This window comes from Homo sapiens, chromosome 2 (assembly GCF_000001405.40).
Source record: "Homo sapiens chromosome 2, GRCh38.p14 Primary Assembly".
NCBI lineage: Eukaryota > Metazoa > Chordata > Mammalia > Primates > Hominidae > Homo > Homo sapiens.
In genome coordinates, this window is record NC_000002.12 from 105,471,979 (window position 1) to 105,491,745 (window position 19,767).

Here is a 19,767-nt window from a genome sequence, read left to right on the forward strand (position 1 = left end):
TAGACCTCAGTTGATGAACAGACATGTGAACTGTCTGGTCCATGACAATTATAATAGAGGTAATTACCTAGACTTAATAGCTAGCACATGCTTTACCCTCTATTGGCCACTATATTGTGTTTGCCCAGACAACCTCATTTAATCCCTACAAACATCCCATGAGTTAGGTAATATCCCTATTCCTATTGTATAGATGATGGAACTTAGGCTTAAAAAAGCTCAGTAACTTGCTAACAGTCACACAATTATAAATAGCAGAGACCGAAGCCCAGGTTCTTAGCCGCTCGGCCATTCTGCCTTTTTCTTTGGTGACCATCCCCACTCCTCCATAATAATGTGATGACAATTTCAGTGAACCATTCAATCACATGGGACAGGGTGCTCATGCCTTAACTGGGCACTTTGATGAGATCAAGAGACTCTGAGTTCACAAATTTCTACACCTGTGAGGGGAATAATAGGTCTCCTTCAACAGTCTTGCCCTATGCTAGGCTTCCTTCGAGTAGGTTCATACCCAACACAGACCCTTCTCTATGCTCAGAACAGCCAACATGAACCTAGAGAGACAAGCACACCTTTTCTTTTTTTTTTCTTTCTTCTTTTTTTTTTTTTTTAGACGGAGCCTCACTCTGTTGTCCAGGCTGGAGTGCAGTGGCACGATCTCGGCTCACTGCAGGCTCTGCCTCTGGGGTTCACACCATTCTCCTGCCTCAGCCTCCTGAGTAGCTGGGACTACAGGCACCCACCACCACGCCCGGCTAATTTTTTTTTCGTATTTTTATTAGAGACGGGGTTTCACCGTGTTAGCCAGGCTGGTCTCAATCTCCTGACCTCATGATCCTCCTCCCTTGGCCTCCCAAAGTGTTGGGATTACAGGCATGAGCCACTGCGCCCAGCCACACCTTTTCAAGGGGCCTCTGCCTGAACTTTTCCACAACTGTGAGCCAATCTTTTTTTTTTTTTTTCTGACTTGGTCTTCTGTTTTAACTCAGGGTAGAAGCTCTTTTGAACTCCCAATTTTAAAATGGAACAGAAAAGAGAACGGCTAAAAAATTCTGTTAAAGGTGCATTTTGGCCAAGCGGCCCAAGGGTATTTCCGTGGTTCAGAAGATTTTTTTTAGCATCCACTTTGAGAAACCCTGCAGCAGCTCCCAGTCTGTGCCAACTTAGGTTTTGGCTTAATGAGATGCAATGTTCACGCTCAAGTCAATAAAATGAGATGAAAATCATTCTTAGGCTGTGACAGTAAGATTAGGACCACAAAACCACATAAAATATTTGGTCACTAAATACTTTCTCTGATGCCCTGGGATGGAAAGTCTGACTTAAAATTTAATGAGGTGATCCTGAGATTTCAATTTTTGTAATAACATCCCTTAGGTTGATTTGTTCTCAACGTTCTCTGTCAATTGAAGAGTGTGAGCTTAGAAATCATGACCTGGGGTGGTGTGTGGGGAGCACTGCAAAGCTAAACATCAGCTGCCGAGTTAAATTTAGTTAAATTAGGGTATTGGAGAATCTGAGGAAAAGGACATTGGGTTGTGGGGTGTGGCGTTGAAAAACATACCTTTTCTAAGAACTTGGCAATTTAAATTCTGGCCACGATCAATCACATTCCTCAGGCTCAGAAAACATGGAAATGCACGCAAAAATGTTTCTTAGTTTTCCCCAGAACAGGCAGGAATTCTTTGAGATGGAAAGTAAACAGAGCTATCAGCATATCGGCCTGGGTTCAATTCACTATTTTTAACTGACTGGAAAAAGGAAAATATATGGCCCTGTTTTCTTTGCTTGAGTGATGTAAAGAGCATTTTTACAGAAATACGCATTTTCCACTAGATTTATCTGCGATAGCATCTCTCTACTGCTCCCATGAGCTGCCTGTGAGATCCATACATATCTCCTGGGCTATGAGTCTGATCAACCAAACAGGCACCAGGGAGTGGGAAACGTCCAGGCTGTTCCCCACTTGTGTCTTTTTGTTGTGGTGATGGTAAAATATACATAATATAAAATTTACCCTTTCACCATTTTTAAGTGTACAATTCATTGCCATTAAGCTCATTTATAATATACAGCAACCAGCACCTCCATCCATCTCTAGAATTATTTTCATCTTCTCAAACTGAAACTCTGTCCCCATTTTAATGGGGACCGACTCACTCCCCATTCCCCCTCCTCCCAGGCCCTGGTAACCTCTATTCGACATTCTGTAAGAATTTCCCCACTCTAGGTACCTCATATAAGTAGAGTCATACGATACTTGTCCTTTTGTATTTGGCTTCTTTCATGCAGCATATTTTCAAGGTTCATCCATATTGCAACATGTGTCAGAGTTTTCTTCCCTTTTAAGGCTGAGTAATATTCCATCATACATACATACCACATTTTGCTTATCTGCTCTTCCATTGAGGGACATTTGGATTGCTTCCACCTTTTGACTATTGATGTCTGAGTCTCTGCTGTAAATCCTTTTGGGTATGTCCCCAGAAATGAAGTTGCTGGGTCATATGGTAATTCTGTGTTTAACTTTTTGAGGAGCCACCATATAGTTTTCCAGCATTTTATGCCAGCACACTGTGCTAATTTCTCCACATCCATGCCAACACTTGTTATTTTCTGCTTGTTTTGTAACAGCCGTCATAATACATGTGAAGTGGTACCTTCCCACTGAATGTCTTTTAAAAGAAGCACAGTTCAGGATGTGTTTCAAATAGGGTGGCAGTTATATCTGCATTTTGAAGGAGTTTTTAAACTCACATCCCAGAATCTTTTCAGTATGTTTTGTAAACAACAACAACAAAGGAAGTGGAACTTAAATGAGTAAATGAAAACAGAATGAAGAGAGAAAAACAATTAGAAAGAGGAAAAGTTTAAATATCTAAATGGACCCCGCAGTGGCTTAGCTAGTGATGTATACATCTGTCCCTGCGTTGGCCTATGGGAAAGTTCACAGGTGACCCCAACACCAGCACATTTTGGTGGAGTCTGGCTTATTAGTCGAGCACTTCCTGAGAAGATTCACCAGGTACTCTCTCTAAGCAGAGGCCTTGGAAATGGAATCCCCACTCCTCCTCTTTAGGGCACGTCTCCAGGGAGAACCATTAACAACATCATACCCAGCCTGCCAGTTTGAGGGTAGACAGCTCCTCCACTGAACCAGGAGGAAGAGCAGGGTACACGACACAAGGGCAGGGCTTACATCCACGTAGTCACAGAGGCAACTGCCTTTCTGCCTTGCTCTCATTTCTCCCAATTCCTTAAAAACAAAGAGCACTCCCTACCTGTGATCTTCATCCCAGCACGATCATGTACACTGGGGAAGTTGTCTCAGCTTATAGACAAGGAACCTGAGGTCTGAGAGGCGAAGTGACTGCCGAGGTGACCCAGGACAGCACAATGAGCTGAGTTTTGTTCTGCTGGCTTGGTCTTGAATGACAGGTGGAGCTAGGGGAGTACACTGTCCATCCCGGAACCAAGCCAACTCCACCCCCAACCGGAGAGATCCTCCTTCATTTTTCCCCCACACATGAGTGCAATAGTCCTAAATCAGAGGACAACACCGGACATCTGTCTCACCAAGCTCATGCAACTATATCAAGAACATCCTGTGTGATGCCCCTGGGGTTTAAAAGCTAGCACTGTTCATGTAGTTTCAAAGTGGTCTACAATGCCAGGTCCCATGGAATTGAAATCTATCCCATAGCCCGTTGAGAAAAACAGTAACTGGAATCACTGTGCTTCAGTCTCTGGGGATTCATCGTGGCCTCCTAGTCTTTGTTGCCATTAATTGTTTTATGACATTGTTTAAATTAAGTCACTTAACTTTCAGCTTCTTCAGCTATTGCAAGCTTTCCGGGATAACAGAGCACGTGTTCTTCTTCTCAGAGCATCTCCCATGCTTAGCACAGGTGACTCACTAGTGAAGGCCAGTTGTAACTTCTGTGTTATCCTTGGGCCCCAACTCCCCCCCAATCACTTTCTGCCTTCCCACACTTATATAAGTTCAGACCTGCTGTTTCATCTTAAATCTGGATGGCACACAGCACAGCTAAGACGCTCAAGCAAGTAAAAATGCATGCTGTTTGGCGAGTCATGTAATCATACAGGTACTTTTTGATCTTCAAGTATAAGATTTGAGTGGATTAATTTTTAAATGAACCATGTGTCTGTATCTGAATATAGAATTACAGTAAGGATGACATAGTAGAACTTCACTTAAAGTTGGTGACTAATGGAGCACTAGACCTAACTCACTTGTGCAAATTAGAATAGATTGGTAGGCTTGGGCCATGGGGTAAGTATATCAATTTGTATCAGTTTGCTAGGGCTGCCATTATTAAGTACCACAGACTGAGTGGTTAAACAACAGAAATGTATTTCCTCACAGTTCAGGAGGCTGTAAGTCTGGCTGGTTTCTTCTGAGGCCCCTCTCCTTGGCTCATAGATGCTGTTTCCTCCATGTGTCTTCACATGACCTTCTCTCTGTGTGTGTCTGTGTCCCAGTCTCCTCTTTTTACAAGGAGACCAGTCAGACTGGATGAGGGCCCATTCTAAAAACCTCATTTCAACTTAATTACCTCTTTAAAGACCGTGTGTCTAAATATGGTCACATTCTGAGATAGGTGTTGAAGTTAGGACATGAACACATGGATTTTGGGGAGACACAATTCAGGTCATAACACAATTAAAATGTAGATGCAAGGAAATTATTAAAGATTTGAAAAAACAGAATGATAATGGATTATTATTTGAAAAAAACGGAATGATAATGGATTATTATGTGGTACTTCAGCCAGATACTGAGAGTAGAAGGAGCCCGTAGGCAGTGTGATGCCACATTTCCTATGTGCGGCAGCTCAGATGTTAGGGAGACTTGGGTCTAGGATCTGTCTCCAATACTGCCAGCCACATGGAGATGAAAAGTTTGACAAGGAGAGAAACATGAGAGGCAGTTTTCACATCTATTAAAGAGAGATGATAACAGTATCTCCCCTGTAAGCTTGTTATGAGGATTAAAATAAGGAGCCTAGACCACTGTTTAAGTGAGGGGTCATGAAACAATGAACCCAGACCAACATTCACACTTTAGTTTGAATCACCTAGTGATCTGGCTAGAAAGCAGATGCTGACTCAGTAGGTCTGGGCCTGAGACTCAGCACTTCTTTTTTTTTTTTTTTATGAAGTCTCACTCTGTTGACTAGGCTGGAGTGCAGTGATGCAATCTCTGCTCACTGCAACCTCCGCCTCCCAGGTTCAAGCAATTCTCCTGCCTCAGCCTCCTGAGGAGCTGGGATTACCGACGCATGCCACCACGCCCAGCTAATTTTTGTATTTTCAGTAGAGGCAGGATTTCACCATGTTGGCCAGGCTGGTCTGGAACTCCTGACCTCAAGTGATCCACCTGCCTTGGCCTCCCAAAGTGCTGCGATTAGAGGCGTGAGCCACCGCGCCTGGCCAGACTCTGCACTTCTAACCAGCTCACTGGTGGCGTAGATAAGGCTGAACTGGGGCCTTCTGGAGCCTTGGGGTCTAAGATACTTCACCCTGTGCCTGATAGACAGGTAATGTACACGCAGTAGAGAGAGCTGCTATAAATACTACTCCTACCTCCATGTTGAGCTTAATAGAAACCTAGTCCTCAGACTTTTCATTCCTCTTTGATTGGGCTACTCTTAATGGGTGAAGCACAGGCAGGCCACCCTCTTCTACCCACAAATATTTTCCAAGTTAATTAAGAACACACGGAGAATAAATCTATGAATCCCTTGGGCTCTGGATTTCTGATGACAGTGTTTAAGGCATGAGCTTGGGTCCAGGGTCTGGTCATTAAAATTTTGTTTATTTATTCCAATGATGATCATTAATGACCAATTGCTGAGCCTTCTCTGTTCCCCTTTGGAGTCAGCATAGACTTCAAAGGCAAACTGGCACAAAATGTTAGCCTGCACCCTCTGATTGCTCTTCCCTCTAATCCCTCTATACGGCCCCGCCTCCCCAAATCTTGATCCTCTGAGTCTGCATTGCCTTGGCAGCTCTCTGATAACTTCAGATAGATTTTCTATTATCTTGTCCAGTTTTGTTTTTTTTTTTTTTGAAATGGAGTCTTCCTCTGTCACCCAGGCTGGAGTGCAGTGGCACGATCTCGGCTCACTGCAACATCTACCTCCTGGGTTCAAGTGATTCTTCTGCCTCAGCTTCCAGAGTAGCTGGGATTACAGACACATGCCACCACATCTGGCTAATTTTTGTATTTTTAGTAGAGATGGGGTTTCGCCATGTTAACCAGGCATGTCTTGAACTTTTTGTCTCAAGTGATCCACCCATCTGGGCTTCCCAAAGTGCTGGGATTACAGGTGTAAGCCACCATGCCCGGCCTGCTTTTCTGGTGTCCTTGGAAAGGTGGGTCTGGAACATTCTGGTCAGCCATGGCTGGAGAATATAGTATTACACACTGAACATAGAGATATTAGTGATTCTTGGGATGTGAATTGTGGCTATGTTATTTTTGAGAGTTTCCTTAAATTAAATAGTTTTTTTAAAAAACATCAGAAATCATTTGTAAGAAAAGAATCCCATCTTTGCTCTCTGTGTGAAGATGCAGTTAAAGTGCCCCAGAAGAAGGCAAATTATGACTCTAACTGATGATAAACGTCTATAAAGACAGAAATGTTAGGGAGGTTTGGGGAAGGAGGAGAGAATACCATTTCTAACCATGATAGAGTCAGTAGTATTAGACTATCCCTCCTGCTGAAAACAATAAAAGCTGGAAAACATACAGAATAAACTGTTTGAAGGTATTGAAATGCAATGAACAGCAGCAGGACCAAACATGAGGCAATCCTCGAGAGGAGGAACCCTCTGTGGGGAACTGGCCTCTTTCCTTAACCTTATTTGCCAGTTCTCTGCCTGGGTGAGCAGGATGTTCAGAGTCCCACTGGGCTGAAGAAAGAGAGGTTGAAGTTCAGGGCTAGAAAAAGGTCTAAAGCGCATCAACAAAGGAACTGCAGAGAAATGAACCTTCTATACACACTTTCCCTTGAAACATTTGCCAGCTCTTAAGGTGTAACAGGCAAGACTAAGAAACCAACAGAAATTTGCAACTTGGAGGTTAAAGAGATAATCAGGGATTCCAGCAGCCACAAGGTGCTGGGGAGACAGAGATGGAGTTTAAGACTTAGGAAGGAGGACAGGCATTGGTATTACTGAATCTCAGTTGAGCCCCCAGAAGGGCCCTATCTTAGGAATAAGGGCTACACTACAGAGGCAAGGGCAACACTGAAACAGACCAATGCTGTCTGCATAAAATTAACTGTGACAGGGTCATGGCGGTCAGCAGGCATGCTCTCTGCCTGCAGGTGGAAAATTAATCCAACCACAGAAAGGCATCTTTCAGACCCCCTGTGATTTTCAATATGCAATATCTGTAATTCAGAATAAATCACAAATCATACTACAATTAAGACCAAATGACAGAAAACCAAGAGACGAGAAAAAAGTGAAAATATAAAGTCTTGCAGGTAATTTATTGAGTTATCAGATTTTAAAATAACTATGATCAATATGCTATAGTTAAATGAACAGTTTTCTCATAAGATTAGACTCAGTATAAGAAAGGACTAGTGAACTAAAGACAGGATAAGCAAAAGTATTCAGATTGAAGCATGGAGAGGAAAAAAGATGGAAAACACAAAATGGGACAAGAAAGACAGGGGACATGATGGAAAGGGCTAATGTATGGATAATTGGATTACCAGGAGAAGAAGAGGAAAGACAGAGAATGGGACAGAAATGATATAATTTTTAAAAATATTGCTTAAAAATACTGTCTGCAAAATTAATAAAAGACCAAAAGCCATAAATTCAAGAATCTTGGAGAATGCAGGCAGATAAATATAAAGCCAACAAAATCTAGTCACATCATAGTCAAATGGTTGAAAATGAAAGATAAAGGAAAGTTTTAAGAGAATACATAATAAAAATATGCATTATCTTTAAAACAGTAAAAGTAAGACTGATGACTGATTTTTTAATAAAAGTCTGGCCAGTTATCTGGCCAGAAGACAATGACATCTTTATTGTGTTGAAAAAAATGCCAGCAAGACTTTTTTTTAACATAACACCCTCATTAAAAAAAGTATTAGATGGAATTTTTTAGGCAGAAAGAAAATGATTTTAAAAGAAATTATAAAAATACAAAAAGAAGTAGTGAGCACCCTTACCCTGTAAGAGCAAATATGAAGGCAAATAAAATTAATAATAATAATAACTATGAGTTTGAAATATAGGTACAGTATATGACAACAATAGCACACACACAAAAAAACAGGAGGGGTGTAAATGAAGTTAAACTGTTTTAAATTTCTTGCGTTATTCAGAAACAGGTAAAAGTACTAATTTAAGATAGGCTATACTAAGTCAAGGATGCATTCTTAATCTCATGGTTAATCAAGAAAATAATACAAGAATGTATAAGTAACAGGCTAATAGATTAAAAATATGGAATAAAAATGCTTATTGATAAATAAGGTAATAAGGAAAAAATAAAAGAACAAAGAAGAGAGAAGACAAATGGAAAAAATTAGCAAGATGATAGACAAATCTAAACATTTCTGCAGTTGCATTAACTGTGACTAGATTAACATTGAGATTAAAAGATAAAAATGCCAAATTGGATTTTAAAAACATCATTATTTACTGATTATAGAAGACACATCTTAAATATAAAGACACAGATAGGATAAAAGTAAATGGATAGAAGAGATACCAAGCAAATGCTGACCAAAGTAAAGTTAGTGCAGATAAATTATCAACATGTAAAGTAAATTTTAAGAAAAAAAGAGTTACTAGTGGTAGAGACATTTCATAATGATTAAAATACCAAATCAACAGGAAGATATAACAGTCCTAAACTGCTATGCAAAGGATAACATAGCTTTAAAATATATGAGGAAAAGGTAACAGAACTAAAAAGAAACAGACACACAAAATTATAGTTGGAGATTTTAACATACCTCTCTCTGGGACTGTGACAAGTGGACAAAAAAACCACGAAGAATGTAAAAGATTGAGCAACACAAAAAACCATCTAGACTTATTTGATATATGTAGAATAATTCAAACAACAACGATAGAATACAAATTTTTCATGACCACAAAGAACACATATCAACATAGACCATATTCTGGGCCATAAAGCAAGCCTCAACAAATTTCAAAAGGCTGAAATCACATACAGTATATTGTTTGATCACAATGGAATTGAACTTGAGATCAAAAGGAAAAAGAAAACTGTTAGATCAATACATATTTGGAAAATAAGAAATACATTTCTAAATAGCCTATAGGTAAAACAAAAAATGGAAAAGAAATTAGAAATATTTTGAACTGGCTCATAATGAAAATATATCACATCAAAACCTGTGAGTTGAAGTTAAAGCAATGTTTAGAGGACAATATATAGCACTAACTGCATATATTATAAAAGAATAAATGTTGATAATTAGCAATTTAAGTTTCTGTCTCAAGAAGCTGGTAAATGAACATAAAAAATAAACCAAAAATGCCTGGGACTAAATGCACATCTTAAAAAGAGGAGAAATGTTGAAAAATCAATTCTCCTAATAGAAGAAACAATATTATAAAATAAATCAGTTAAATGAAAAACAAGCACACAACAAAAAAAATCGACAAAACTAAAATTTGATATTTTGAAGACTTACAAAATTAGTAACGCCCTGTCCATACTACTCAAGGAAAAAAAATGGGTAAAAACACAAATTGCCAATACAAGAAAATGAGAATGGAATATACAGATGTTAAAAAGATAAAAAAGAATGTGATAAACAACTTCATATCACTACATTTGACAATTAAATAAAATGCTCAAATTTCTTAAAGACAATTTATCAAAATTGACTGAAGAAATTTGAAAAAAGTACAATCCTTGTAAACCAGTTAAATCTGCAATTAAAATCTTGTCCCCATAAGAAAACAATAGGCTCTAATAATTCACTGCTGAATTCATCAAACATATAAGGAAGAAATCATATTAATCTTACAAAAGCTTTTCAGAAATTATAAGATAAAAGAAGTTTTATTAACTCATGTCATGAAGCTAGCATAACCTCTATACCAAAATGTGCCATGGACATTACAAAAAAAAATTATAGACCAACATGTCTCACAAACTCAGATACAAAAATTCTGAACAAAATATTAGCAAATTTAATACAGTGATATTTTTAAAAGATGATGAAGCAGACCAATAGTGTTTATTCCACAAATTAAAAAATTCAATAATTTATTCAAAATAAATAATATAATTCACTATATTAATTGAATAAAAGATAAAATTCATATGATCATCTCAAATGATGCCCAACAAACCATTTGTAAAATTCATCACCTAATCAGGTTTTAAAAATTGGCAAAAGAGGGGAATTTCCTTATTGTAAAATAGAAAGTCTACAAAATACCTATAGTAAATATTATAATTGTAAAATATTGAATACTTTCACTCTGAATTTGACTAAAACAAGAATGTTCACTAACATTACTTCAATTTACATAGTGCTAGAGGCCCTAGTGAGAGTGATAAGCAAGACAGAAATAAAAATTTAAATACTGGAAAGAAGAACTACAACTGTCATTACTCTCAGATGATATGATTGTGAATGTAGAAAATAAAAAACTCCATAGATAAATATTAGAATGTGTTTATAAGGTCATTAAATATAAAATCGACATAGAAAAATGCATTGTATTTCTATACTAGCAATAGACAATTAGAAAATGAAATTTAAAAGAATACTGCCACTTATAAATATCAATAATTTTTTTTTTTTTTTTTAAGATGGAGGAGTCTCCCTCTGTTGCTCAGGCTGGAGTGCAGCTGTGTGATCTTGGCTCACTGCAACCGCCGCCTCCCGGGTTCAAGTAATTCTCATGCCTCAGCCTCCCAAGTAGCTGGGATTACAGGCATGTGCCACTATTCCTGGCTAATTTTTGTATTTTTAGTAGAGATGGGGTTTCACCATGTTGGCCAGTCTGGTCTCAAACTCTGACCTCAAGTGATCTGCGTGCCTTGGCCTCCAAAAGTGCTGGGATTACAGGTGTGAGACACTGCACCTGGCCCTCAACATTTTTAACAAGCCTGTTAATAACTGCAACTCAAAATGTGTAATTCTTCACCAACTTTTACAGAATATTGATGAGAAACATTAAAACTTACATAAGTGTTCTTGAATTGGAAGACACAATATTATTATGATGACAGTTCTCTCAAAATTCATCTATAAATGTATTTTGTAATCTCATATAAAATACTAACAGATTCTTTGTTGAAACCTGACAAGGTGATTTTAAGTTCTATGTGGAATTGCAAAGGGCCAAGAAGAGCTGAGACAATTTTGAAACGCACACACACAATGCAGAAAATAGTCAGAGGTCTTCCTGATATTAAGATTTCTTATAAAGCTATAGTAATTAAAATAGCATGCTATTGGTACAAGGCTAGAGAAATAAATCAATAGAGTAGAAAAAGTTCAGAAACATACCCACACAAAAGGGCCACCTGATGTACCATAAAGGTGCAACTTTAATGTTGTAAGGGAAATGAGAGCCTTTTCAATAAATGGGGCTGGGTCAACTGGCTACTTATGAAAAAACATGAGTCTTGACCTCTATCTCACACCACAGACAAAAAAATAAAAATCAGTTGCAGATGGATTGTGAGCCGGAATGAAAAGGGTGAAACAGTAGTTTCTTTAAAAATGTAGAGTATCTTTATGACCCTTGAGTTAGGCAAAGAGTTCTCAAACTGTACATGCAAACCACTAACCACAAATAAAAGTTTGAAAAACTGTTTTTCACTAAAATGAACAATTAAGGGCACCATTTAGAGACTGAAACATCAAGCCACAGACTAGAATAGATATTTGCAGCCATATACTAAAGACAAAGATGAATATTAAGCAGATATTTTTAAAAACTTCTTTAAGTAAATAAGAAAAAGGCAGACAAATCAGTTTTTAAGCCTGGGAAGGAGTTGAACGGGCACTTTACAAAAAGAGGATAACCAAAATGCCAAAATCCTTATGAAAAAACAGTTCAATGTCATTAGGCCATTAAGAAACACTAGAACCGCAAGAAGACATCTGTTAGGCATTAGAAAGATTGGCAGTACCCAGTGTTGGAGAGAATATGGAACAATTAGAAGTCTTATACAATGCTGGTGGGTGTGTAAACTCGTACAAGTGCTTATGTATTAAAACTAAATATATGTCTACCTTATGGCCTAGGAATTCCAATCATAGGCAAATATCCAAGTGTGCATGTTTTTACCAGAAGACATGTTTGAGTATGTTCATAGCAGCTTTATGTATACTACCTCAAAACTATCAAGGACTCAGATGTCCATCCATAAATGGTGGTATAAAATGCAATAAAAGGAACAACTTACAGCTACATGTAACAGGAAAAGAAAAGCCCTTTCAATAAATGGTGCTGGGTCAACTAGCTGCTGTCTATGCATGAATCACAAGACATGTTGAGTGAAAGAATACATACAGTATGAGACTGTAGGGTCAACACACCTGACAGCAAGAATTTAAGCATACCCTTAGAATGACCCTGCATGGAAGACACACTTGAATGTGTGCTCCAAGCTAGGCAATCCAGGAGTGACCGACCCTGAGATTTGTTCCTTACCCAGACAAAAATCTCAGGCCCTGTCCTGTCTTGGCCTACAGGGGACTGAGGCCCTGAGTTTTGGGTTAAATGAAGGTGGTTGACAGGTGGAGGTCATTGGGAGGAGGGTGCTAAGTGAAAATGCGGTATAAACTACATGTTTGCAGATGCTTGCAGTTTTCCTGCCTTGGCCCCCCGCCACTGGACTCTCCCCTGTGTTTAAGCCCCTGATAAAACCCCATGTCTCATTTCCTGGCTCTGGGTCTCTTCGTCACCCTCTTGAACCTGTAGCCTTCCCTACTGAGGTTCATAGGGGTTTGGCATGAAAGATACCCTCTACATAAATTTTGAGAACAGGCAAAATTACTTTATGGTGATGGAAGTCAGCATTGTGCCTATGTTGAGGGGGGATTTGATTGTGTAGGGGCCAAAGACCTGCATCTTGATCTGGAGTTTTTTCTCTTATTTTTGAGACAGGGTCTCACTGTGTTGCCCAGGCTGGAGTGCAGTGCTGAGTTTCTGCTCACTGCAGCCTCAAGTGATCCCCCCACCTCAGCCTCCCAAGTAGCTGCGACTACAGGTACACAAAATCATGCTTGGTGAATTTTAAAAATTCTTTTTATAGAGACAGGGTGTTACTATATTGCTCAGGCTGGTCTCAAACTCCTAGGCTAAAGTGACCCTCCGACCTCAGCCTCCCAAAATGCTTTACAGGCATGAGGCCATCACATCTGGCCTTGATGTGGAAATTTATCAAATGTCCACGTAAGGCTGGTGCCCTTTTTTACTGAGTTTATGTTGTGTCTTAATGATTAAATATTGTTAATAAAGAAGTCTTCCTCCCTGAAATCCCCTCCCCCCATCCTTTATCCAAACTCTCTTTTTGGATCTCAGTTTTCAAGGTCTTACTTGTGCTTTTCTGCTCAATTTCATTCCAGTTAAATGTTAGATCCGTGGTATTCATTCTACCCTAATCAACCCACACCTGGTTTGTTGAAATCCTTATAGGTCCAAGGCCACTGTCAGGCATGAGTGTGCAGCATGGCAGTCGTACAGCACCCTGTGCCTAGAAGGGTTTAATGCTCTGCCGTCACCAACTTGAAGTTCTTAATTTTGGAACAGAAGCCTCCAATTTCATTTTGCACAGAACCCTGAAAATTATGTAGTTGGCCCTGCATGCAGGCATTTTCATCCTCAGAAGGCACAGAGGTCGGTTCATGTTTTCAACCGTGGCTGCTCATTAGAATAACCAAAGTTCCAGAGATTCTGAGTTAATTGGATGAGGGTGAAGCCGAGGCATGAGGAGTTTTAAAACTCCCAGCTGATTCTAATGCTCAGCCAAGGCTAAGAATGGCAGATCCAGTTGGAGAGGTCATGCCAACGCAATGGTTTACCAAATATCTGGAGGGCTTAGAGGATGGAGGGATCACTTTGGGCTTCGGGTTGGAGGTGAAAGCCTGATGTGAGTTTATGGGGTGAGTTTATGGCGAGAAGTCAAATGCTTAATGTGATGGCGTTCCAGGCAGTGGCACCTGTGGGCCCAAGAGCTGCAGGCAGAGATCCCTCTGGATAGGAACAGCGCTCAGAGCCTCCTTCCTCAGCCACCATTCATGTTCTCTCATCAGCCAGTGAAAACCTGCCGATTCTCTTTTGTAATGAAGCTGTAAAGGTATGAACGAGAAAACGATGGACTTAGTCTCCAGTTGATTTTGAGAAGAGAAGGGCTCTGAGGTTTCAGATGTGGGTGCCCAGCTTGGTGGCTGCCGTGGAGGAAGGAGTGCCAGACTGCACATCAGAAGGCAGAGTTTCTAGTTCTCATCCTACCCCTGGCCACCCAAGACGCTTGCCCAATTCTTTGGGCCTCAGTTTCTCATAAAAACTGGACTGATTTGATCTGGAAGTAATTTTCCATTCCCACACGGCCATAAATGTATGGTTTGTATCTTATTTCTTGGATATCTTTATTGTCTTATAAAGTTATCGATTATAGACTATTTATATGGGTCAGCGATTATAAAGCAATTGAAGTCTCATAAAATAGGAAGTCCATGGACAGAATCCAGCCAGTAGAGGTTTTTTTTTAGCCTGAACAATATTATTTTTTTCAAAAATGTGTTGTCCACATTATGAGATTTCATATTAAAATGCACATTTACAGTTTCTCTTGAAACAACAGGAGATCTGGCAACTCTGGGCCTGCTTTGGGCAATTCTTGCAGACACTGGTGCTCAGGAGGGGCTGCCCTTTTGGACAGAGCATGCACTTGCCAGCTCACCCCAGTCCTCACCACTCCCTATTCTATCCCAGTGGCCTCGTTGACTTACACTAGCAGTCATATCCCTAGCGGTGCATTCAAGTTCCTTCATGCACTGAGGATTTCTTGAGGACTCCTTCAACTGAATATTCATTGCCTGCTTCTTGCTGGCTTAAAATTAGAATTAGGTTTCGTTAGAAATGACAGTCTAATGGTATTAGACATTATTCCATTCCCTCGTTTGTCTCGTCTGACTGTGACCACAGAGCACGTCTCTGCTCTCCAGCCTCAAAGATGATATGACCTCTCTTCGGACATACTGGCTCTAAGAAAACAAACAAAAACTTGGTAATTGGGGCTTCTGCAGGAATGTATGTTCATTTCCATCTTCCTGTAATCCACTGCATTCTTTAGGCCCTCTGAGTCTTCTAAACATTCAGGCCAAGTGATCTTCAAGTTATTTTTCTAACCACAATTATCCAAATCCTGTTTTGTTTTCTCTCTTCTTTCCAAGTGTTCAGTTGGCGTCACTTAGGCTTTGTTGGAGGCAGCTGAGTCTTTCAGGGTCGGGGTGTTTTCCTTGGTTGTGGTCTGAAGGCGATTGGTGGGATAAGAGGTCAGCCCACGGCTTCCATCCTCACCACTACAAGGCCACCTGCCAGAGGCGCCTCACCCCTGACCTTCTCCCAAGGATGGCCAGGGCATGAGGAGGACTGGAGAAAGGAACCCAGGCTGCCCCACCCACCACAGCGGGGCCCTCGGTGAGACTGGTCCGTGGTTGTTTTCTGTGTTGGTCACGGATCCCTCCCCATGCCTTCACCCTTTCCTGCACGTCAGGCGGGAGCCAGTCACTGCCGTCTGAGAGGCACAGCTTGGGCAGAATGCTTCAGGCAGCCCCTGTCGTGAGGACAGCGAAGGGCACCCTTGGGCTCCATTTGTGCTTTGATGAGAACTGCAACTTTGTATCCAGTGTCCAAGTCTGAAGTGATCCGTGATCCTGGCAGACTCGGGTTTGTGATTAGAAGTGCACAGAACATGAGAAATCATTAAGGAGTGGAGGAACATTTTGGAGTGTGGCCTGTCACAGGGAAAGAGTCCTGTGTCCCCTTCGTCAAGCTGACCAGGCCACCTCCAAACCACCCAGTCTCCACTCTCACCAGCCACCACCCCTCCTGTCATCCTTCTTGGAGGGTGGGGAGGGACGGCAAGGTTCTTTCTTCCACCTTTATATTTTCTTGTAAATATAAAACCTTTGCCCCTAAAGGAGGCCACTTGTAAAGAAAGGCTTAAGAAGTGACCTGAAAATAAAACCACAGCTGCCCAATCCACACTGAGGAAGGGGTGGAGAGGTGTCAAATGTTGTGCAGGGCACAGCAAGCCCACTCCCCAGGGCTGCTGTCTTTCCACGACCCTCTCACTGGCTCCTCTTGAAGTCTATGCACTTGGAGTGAGGCCACGTTTCTGCTTTTTCGATGATGAAAGCTGCTGCAGATCCCCTATCTGTGAAGTCATTTGGCAGAATCTGCGTGTTGTTGATATCAGCCATTGAAGTGAAGTCTCTTAAAATAGGCTTCTGGGACTCCGGGCACCGATGTCCTCAAAGCTCAGTGACACCAGCAGCTAAGAGACCTTGCGTAAAAATAGCCAGGGGTGAGCAGGTGGCACTTGCCCCTGACGCATGCTCACCACCTCCTCTCAGCTGTCAGCACCTCTGTCCTCTGATGTCCCACCTTCTCCCTATTATCCACCCCTTCTTCTCCCACTTGGTCCCCTCCTTATAGCAGAGCCACTGAATGATTCCTGGCCAAGGACCAATAAAACCTGGCCGTCAGATTTCCCTGTGCCTAGCATTTGGGAGACTATGGCACATCAAGTTAGATGTTTTTTATTTAGAAAAATGATATAGGTGGACCAGGCGTGGTGGCTCATGCCTGTAATCCCAGCATTTTGGGAGGCCAAGGTGGGTGGATCGCTTGAAGTCAGGAGTTTGAGATCAGCCTGGTCAATATGGTGAAACCTTGTCTCTACTAAAAATACAAAAATTAGCTGGACGTGGTGGTGTGTACCTGTAGTCCAAGCCACTAGGGAGGCTGAGGGAAGAGAATTGCTTGAGCCCGGGAGGTGGAGGCTGCAGTGAGCCGAGATTGCACCACTGTACTCCATTCAGGGCAACAGAGGGAGACTCCTCTGGAATGAATGAATGAAGGAAGGAAGGAAAGAAGGAAGGAAGGAAGGAAGGAGAATGCAAGGGAAGGGAAGGGAAGTGAAGGGGGAGGGACGGAGGATAGACAGAAGGAAGGGAGGCAGGGAGGAAGGAAGGAAGGAAGGAAGGAAGGAAGGAAGGAAAGGAAGGAAGGAAGGAAGGAAGGAAGGAAGGAAGGAAGGAAGGAAGGAAGGAAGGAAAGGAAGGGAGAGAGAGAGAGAAAAAAAGAGAAAGAGAAAGAAAGAGTGAAAGAGAAAAAAGGAGAAAGAAAAAGCAAAGAAAGAAAGAAAGACAGACAGAAAGAAAAGGAAGAAAGAGTATTTAGGCTGTGTCTACAGGTATCATAACCTCCAAGATTAGGACAGAAAATATAACTGAGAATAGCCTACCAAGTAGGACACCTTAAACTTGATTAAGTTTTGAGGCAGCTGGTTGTTGCTACTGCTGTTGTTTTTCCAGGACTTTAGTAATAATCTCTCCCTCCTCATTTCTGAGCAAGTATTAAACAAACCCTTATCAAGCTGGCATTCCTATCTCACCAGGGCTACCATGTCCTGCTGTGCAGAGTGTGCACTGCTCAAGGCCAGACAGCACCGTTCCCATCAACGAGGAGATTAATAGGGTCCCCTGGCCTTGTGTAGTGTGGCAGCCCTACCACCCATAATTTCCTTGTTGTCTTCTCCCCAGTTCTTTCTGTTCTACAGATCCTGATAGAGTGATCTGGTAGGTAGGAACAGAGGCCTTCAAGATATGGGGAATTTGAATTAAAAGGAACTCCCTTATTCCTTCCCTCTGCCCTATTTCAAGTGTTTTTGTCACCCAGACCATCTCTTTGCTTTCCCTTTAAATATTTCCTTTTAAATCTTTTAAAATCCCTAATATCACTTTGATCTAAGATGTTATTGATCTTGTTGTAGGAAGTCTGAGAACACTCTAAGGGCTATTGACAAAAGTGAGTTCTCACCTTGGCCACACTTATTCCCCTAATCTCATCCTCTTCTCTCTCTCTACCTGAGAAAGATAAAAAATGTGGAAGCGATTCACTGTCAAGAGAGACTGCCTGGGATTCTAACAGCAGAGTGGCATCAATATTAATTGAAAGCTCCTTCAGCTGGAAGGGATCTGAGAGGTCATCTATGACCCTTTACCCAGTGAGAGGAATCCAATTCTTCTTGATTATGTTTGTGACTAAACACTCATCATCTCACCGGATAGTTCAGTCCATTGTTGACTTTGTCTTATCGTTTGATACTCTTTGAGCCAAAATTATACTGAACCAGAATCAACTGGCTTTCTGGCTGGAAGTCCCTACCATGTGTCGAGCAAAGCACTGGCAGCTGGGGACACAGAGGTAAATTAAAGATACATGCTGCCTCCCACGAGGTCACAGCCAGTGACTGTTCCACAAAGGGACAACCACAATGAAATAGGCAGAACATGAGGAGAGTACCCAGCAAAGCCTCAAATTCAGCTGAAAGTTCTGCAGGTGACTGAACTGGGTTTTGAATGTTTTGTTTTCCAGAAACACTCATTACAAGTTACACTTCATCTACATAACAGCTCTGTAATTTTTATAATAATAATTGTATCCCACCTTTATCTTCTTGTATTATAGTTTAACATCCTCATTGACTTCAGCCATGTCCTGTAGCACATGAATTTTTTTTTATTACGAGGGTTTTCCCTATCTAACATTCTCTTGGAAATGTTAAACCCCAACTGAGCCCAGTATTCCCAACGGGGCAGTGTGCAGAGAACCATTATTTCCCATTGCCTTGGTGTTCTAGTCATGTGGCCAATGAGTAGATTCCTGTATTTTGGAGGTCATTGTTTGATGGTTAAAACTTAACCCCCTCCTGCCCAAATGTTTTCTGGATAAACAGCTACAAAGCCAGGGACTCTACTTATTTTTTTCAATTAAAGCAGCTTAGAATGACCCACTTATGTGCCTTCTGCTTGGCACTTGTGCTGCATTACTGTGGCCTGCAGTTCACCTTGCCAATGTCAATACTTCTCTGAATGAAATCAAATTGCCTTGCAACTTGGAACTTGGACCCACCTGTTCTCCTTACTTTCACCGTCATCATGGAGACCTTTGCATCTGAGTCATAGGTCTCATGTCTTCCTGGAAGACATCAGAATAATTTTACACAACATATAATGGAAAGGGACAATTCCATGCTTTACTTCTCAACTCCTATTCCCAGAGACAATAACTTCAAATTCTTTTATCTGCTTCTTCTAAACCAGGTAGTACAAACAAGTTATTTGATAAAATGGAACACTTAGCTCCATTTATCAAGTAAGTTGTTTATACTACTATTTCTTGCTTTTAACATTTTTCATATGTTTCTTGATTTTAAAATGTTATTTAGCTCTTACCGTCTTGTTCTTGTGGGAAATAAGGTATTGATTAATTTAAACCTCACTATCTTCCTCACGCTCTCCTCTTTCTTTTGCCTTCCCATGCTTTCAATATGGCGTTAGCAAACATTTTTGTGAAATCAGTGTATGGTGATTATCATTATGACTCTGTGAATATTATACACACTGAGCCTTGGTTCTGTTTTTGTTTTGCCATGACTCTATTTCCTTTCTTGTTGTGTTTTATAGATTTAAC

At 40.8% G+C, this 19,767-nt stretch overlaps 2 annotated features.

The window, feature by feature from the left end:
• Window positions 5,322–5,534: a silencer, noted in NCBI's record as "fragment chr2:106093757-106093969 (GRCh37/hg19 assembly coordinates)". NCBI's record gives its function as "represses an EF-1alpha promoter that drives an FKBP-Casp9 reporter gene in an ReSE screen in K562 erythroleukemia cells {active_cell/tissue: K562}" and the evidence as "EXISTENCE:reporter gene assay evidence [ECO:0000049][PMID:32094911]".
• Window positions 13,982–19,196: an enhancer, noted in NCBI's record as "VISTA enhancer hs2590". NCBI's record gives its function as "enhancer in: somite[4/6] | heart[4/6]" and the evidence as "EXISTENCE:transgenic organism evidence [ECO:0001131][PMID:17130149]".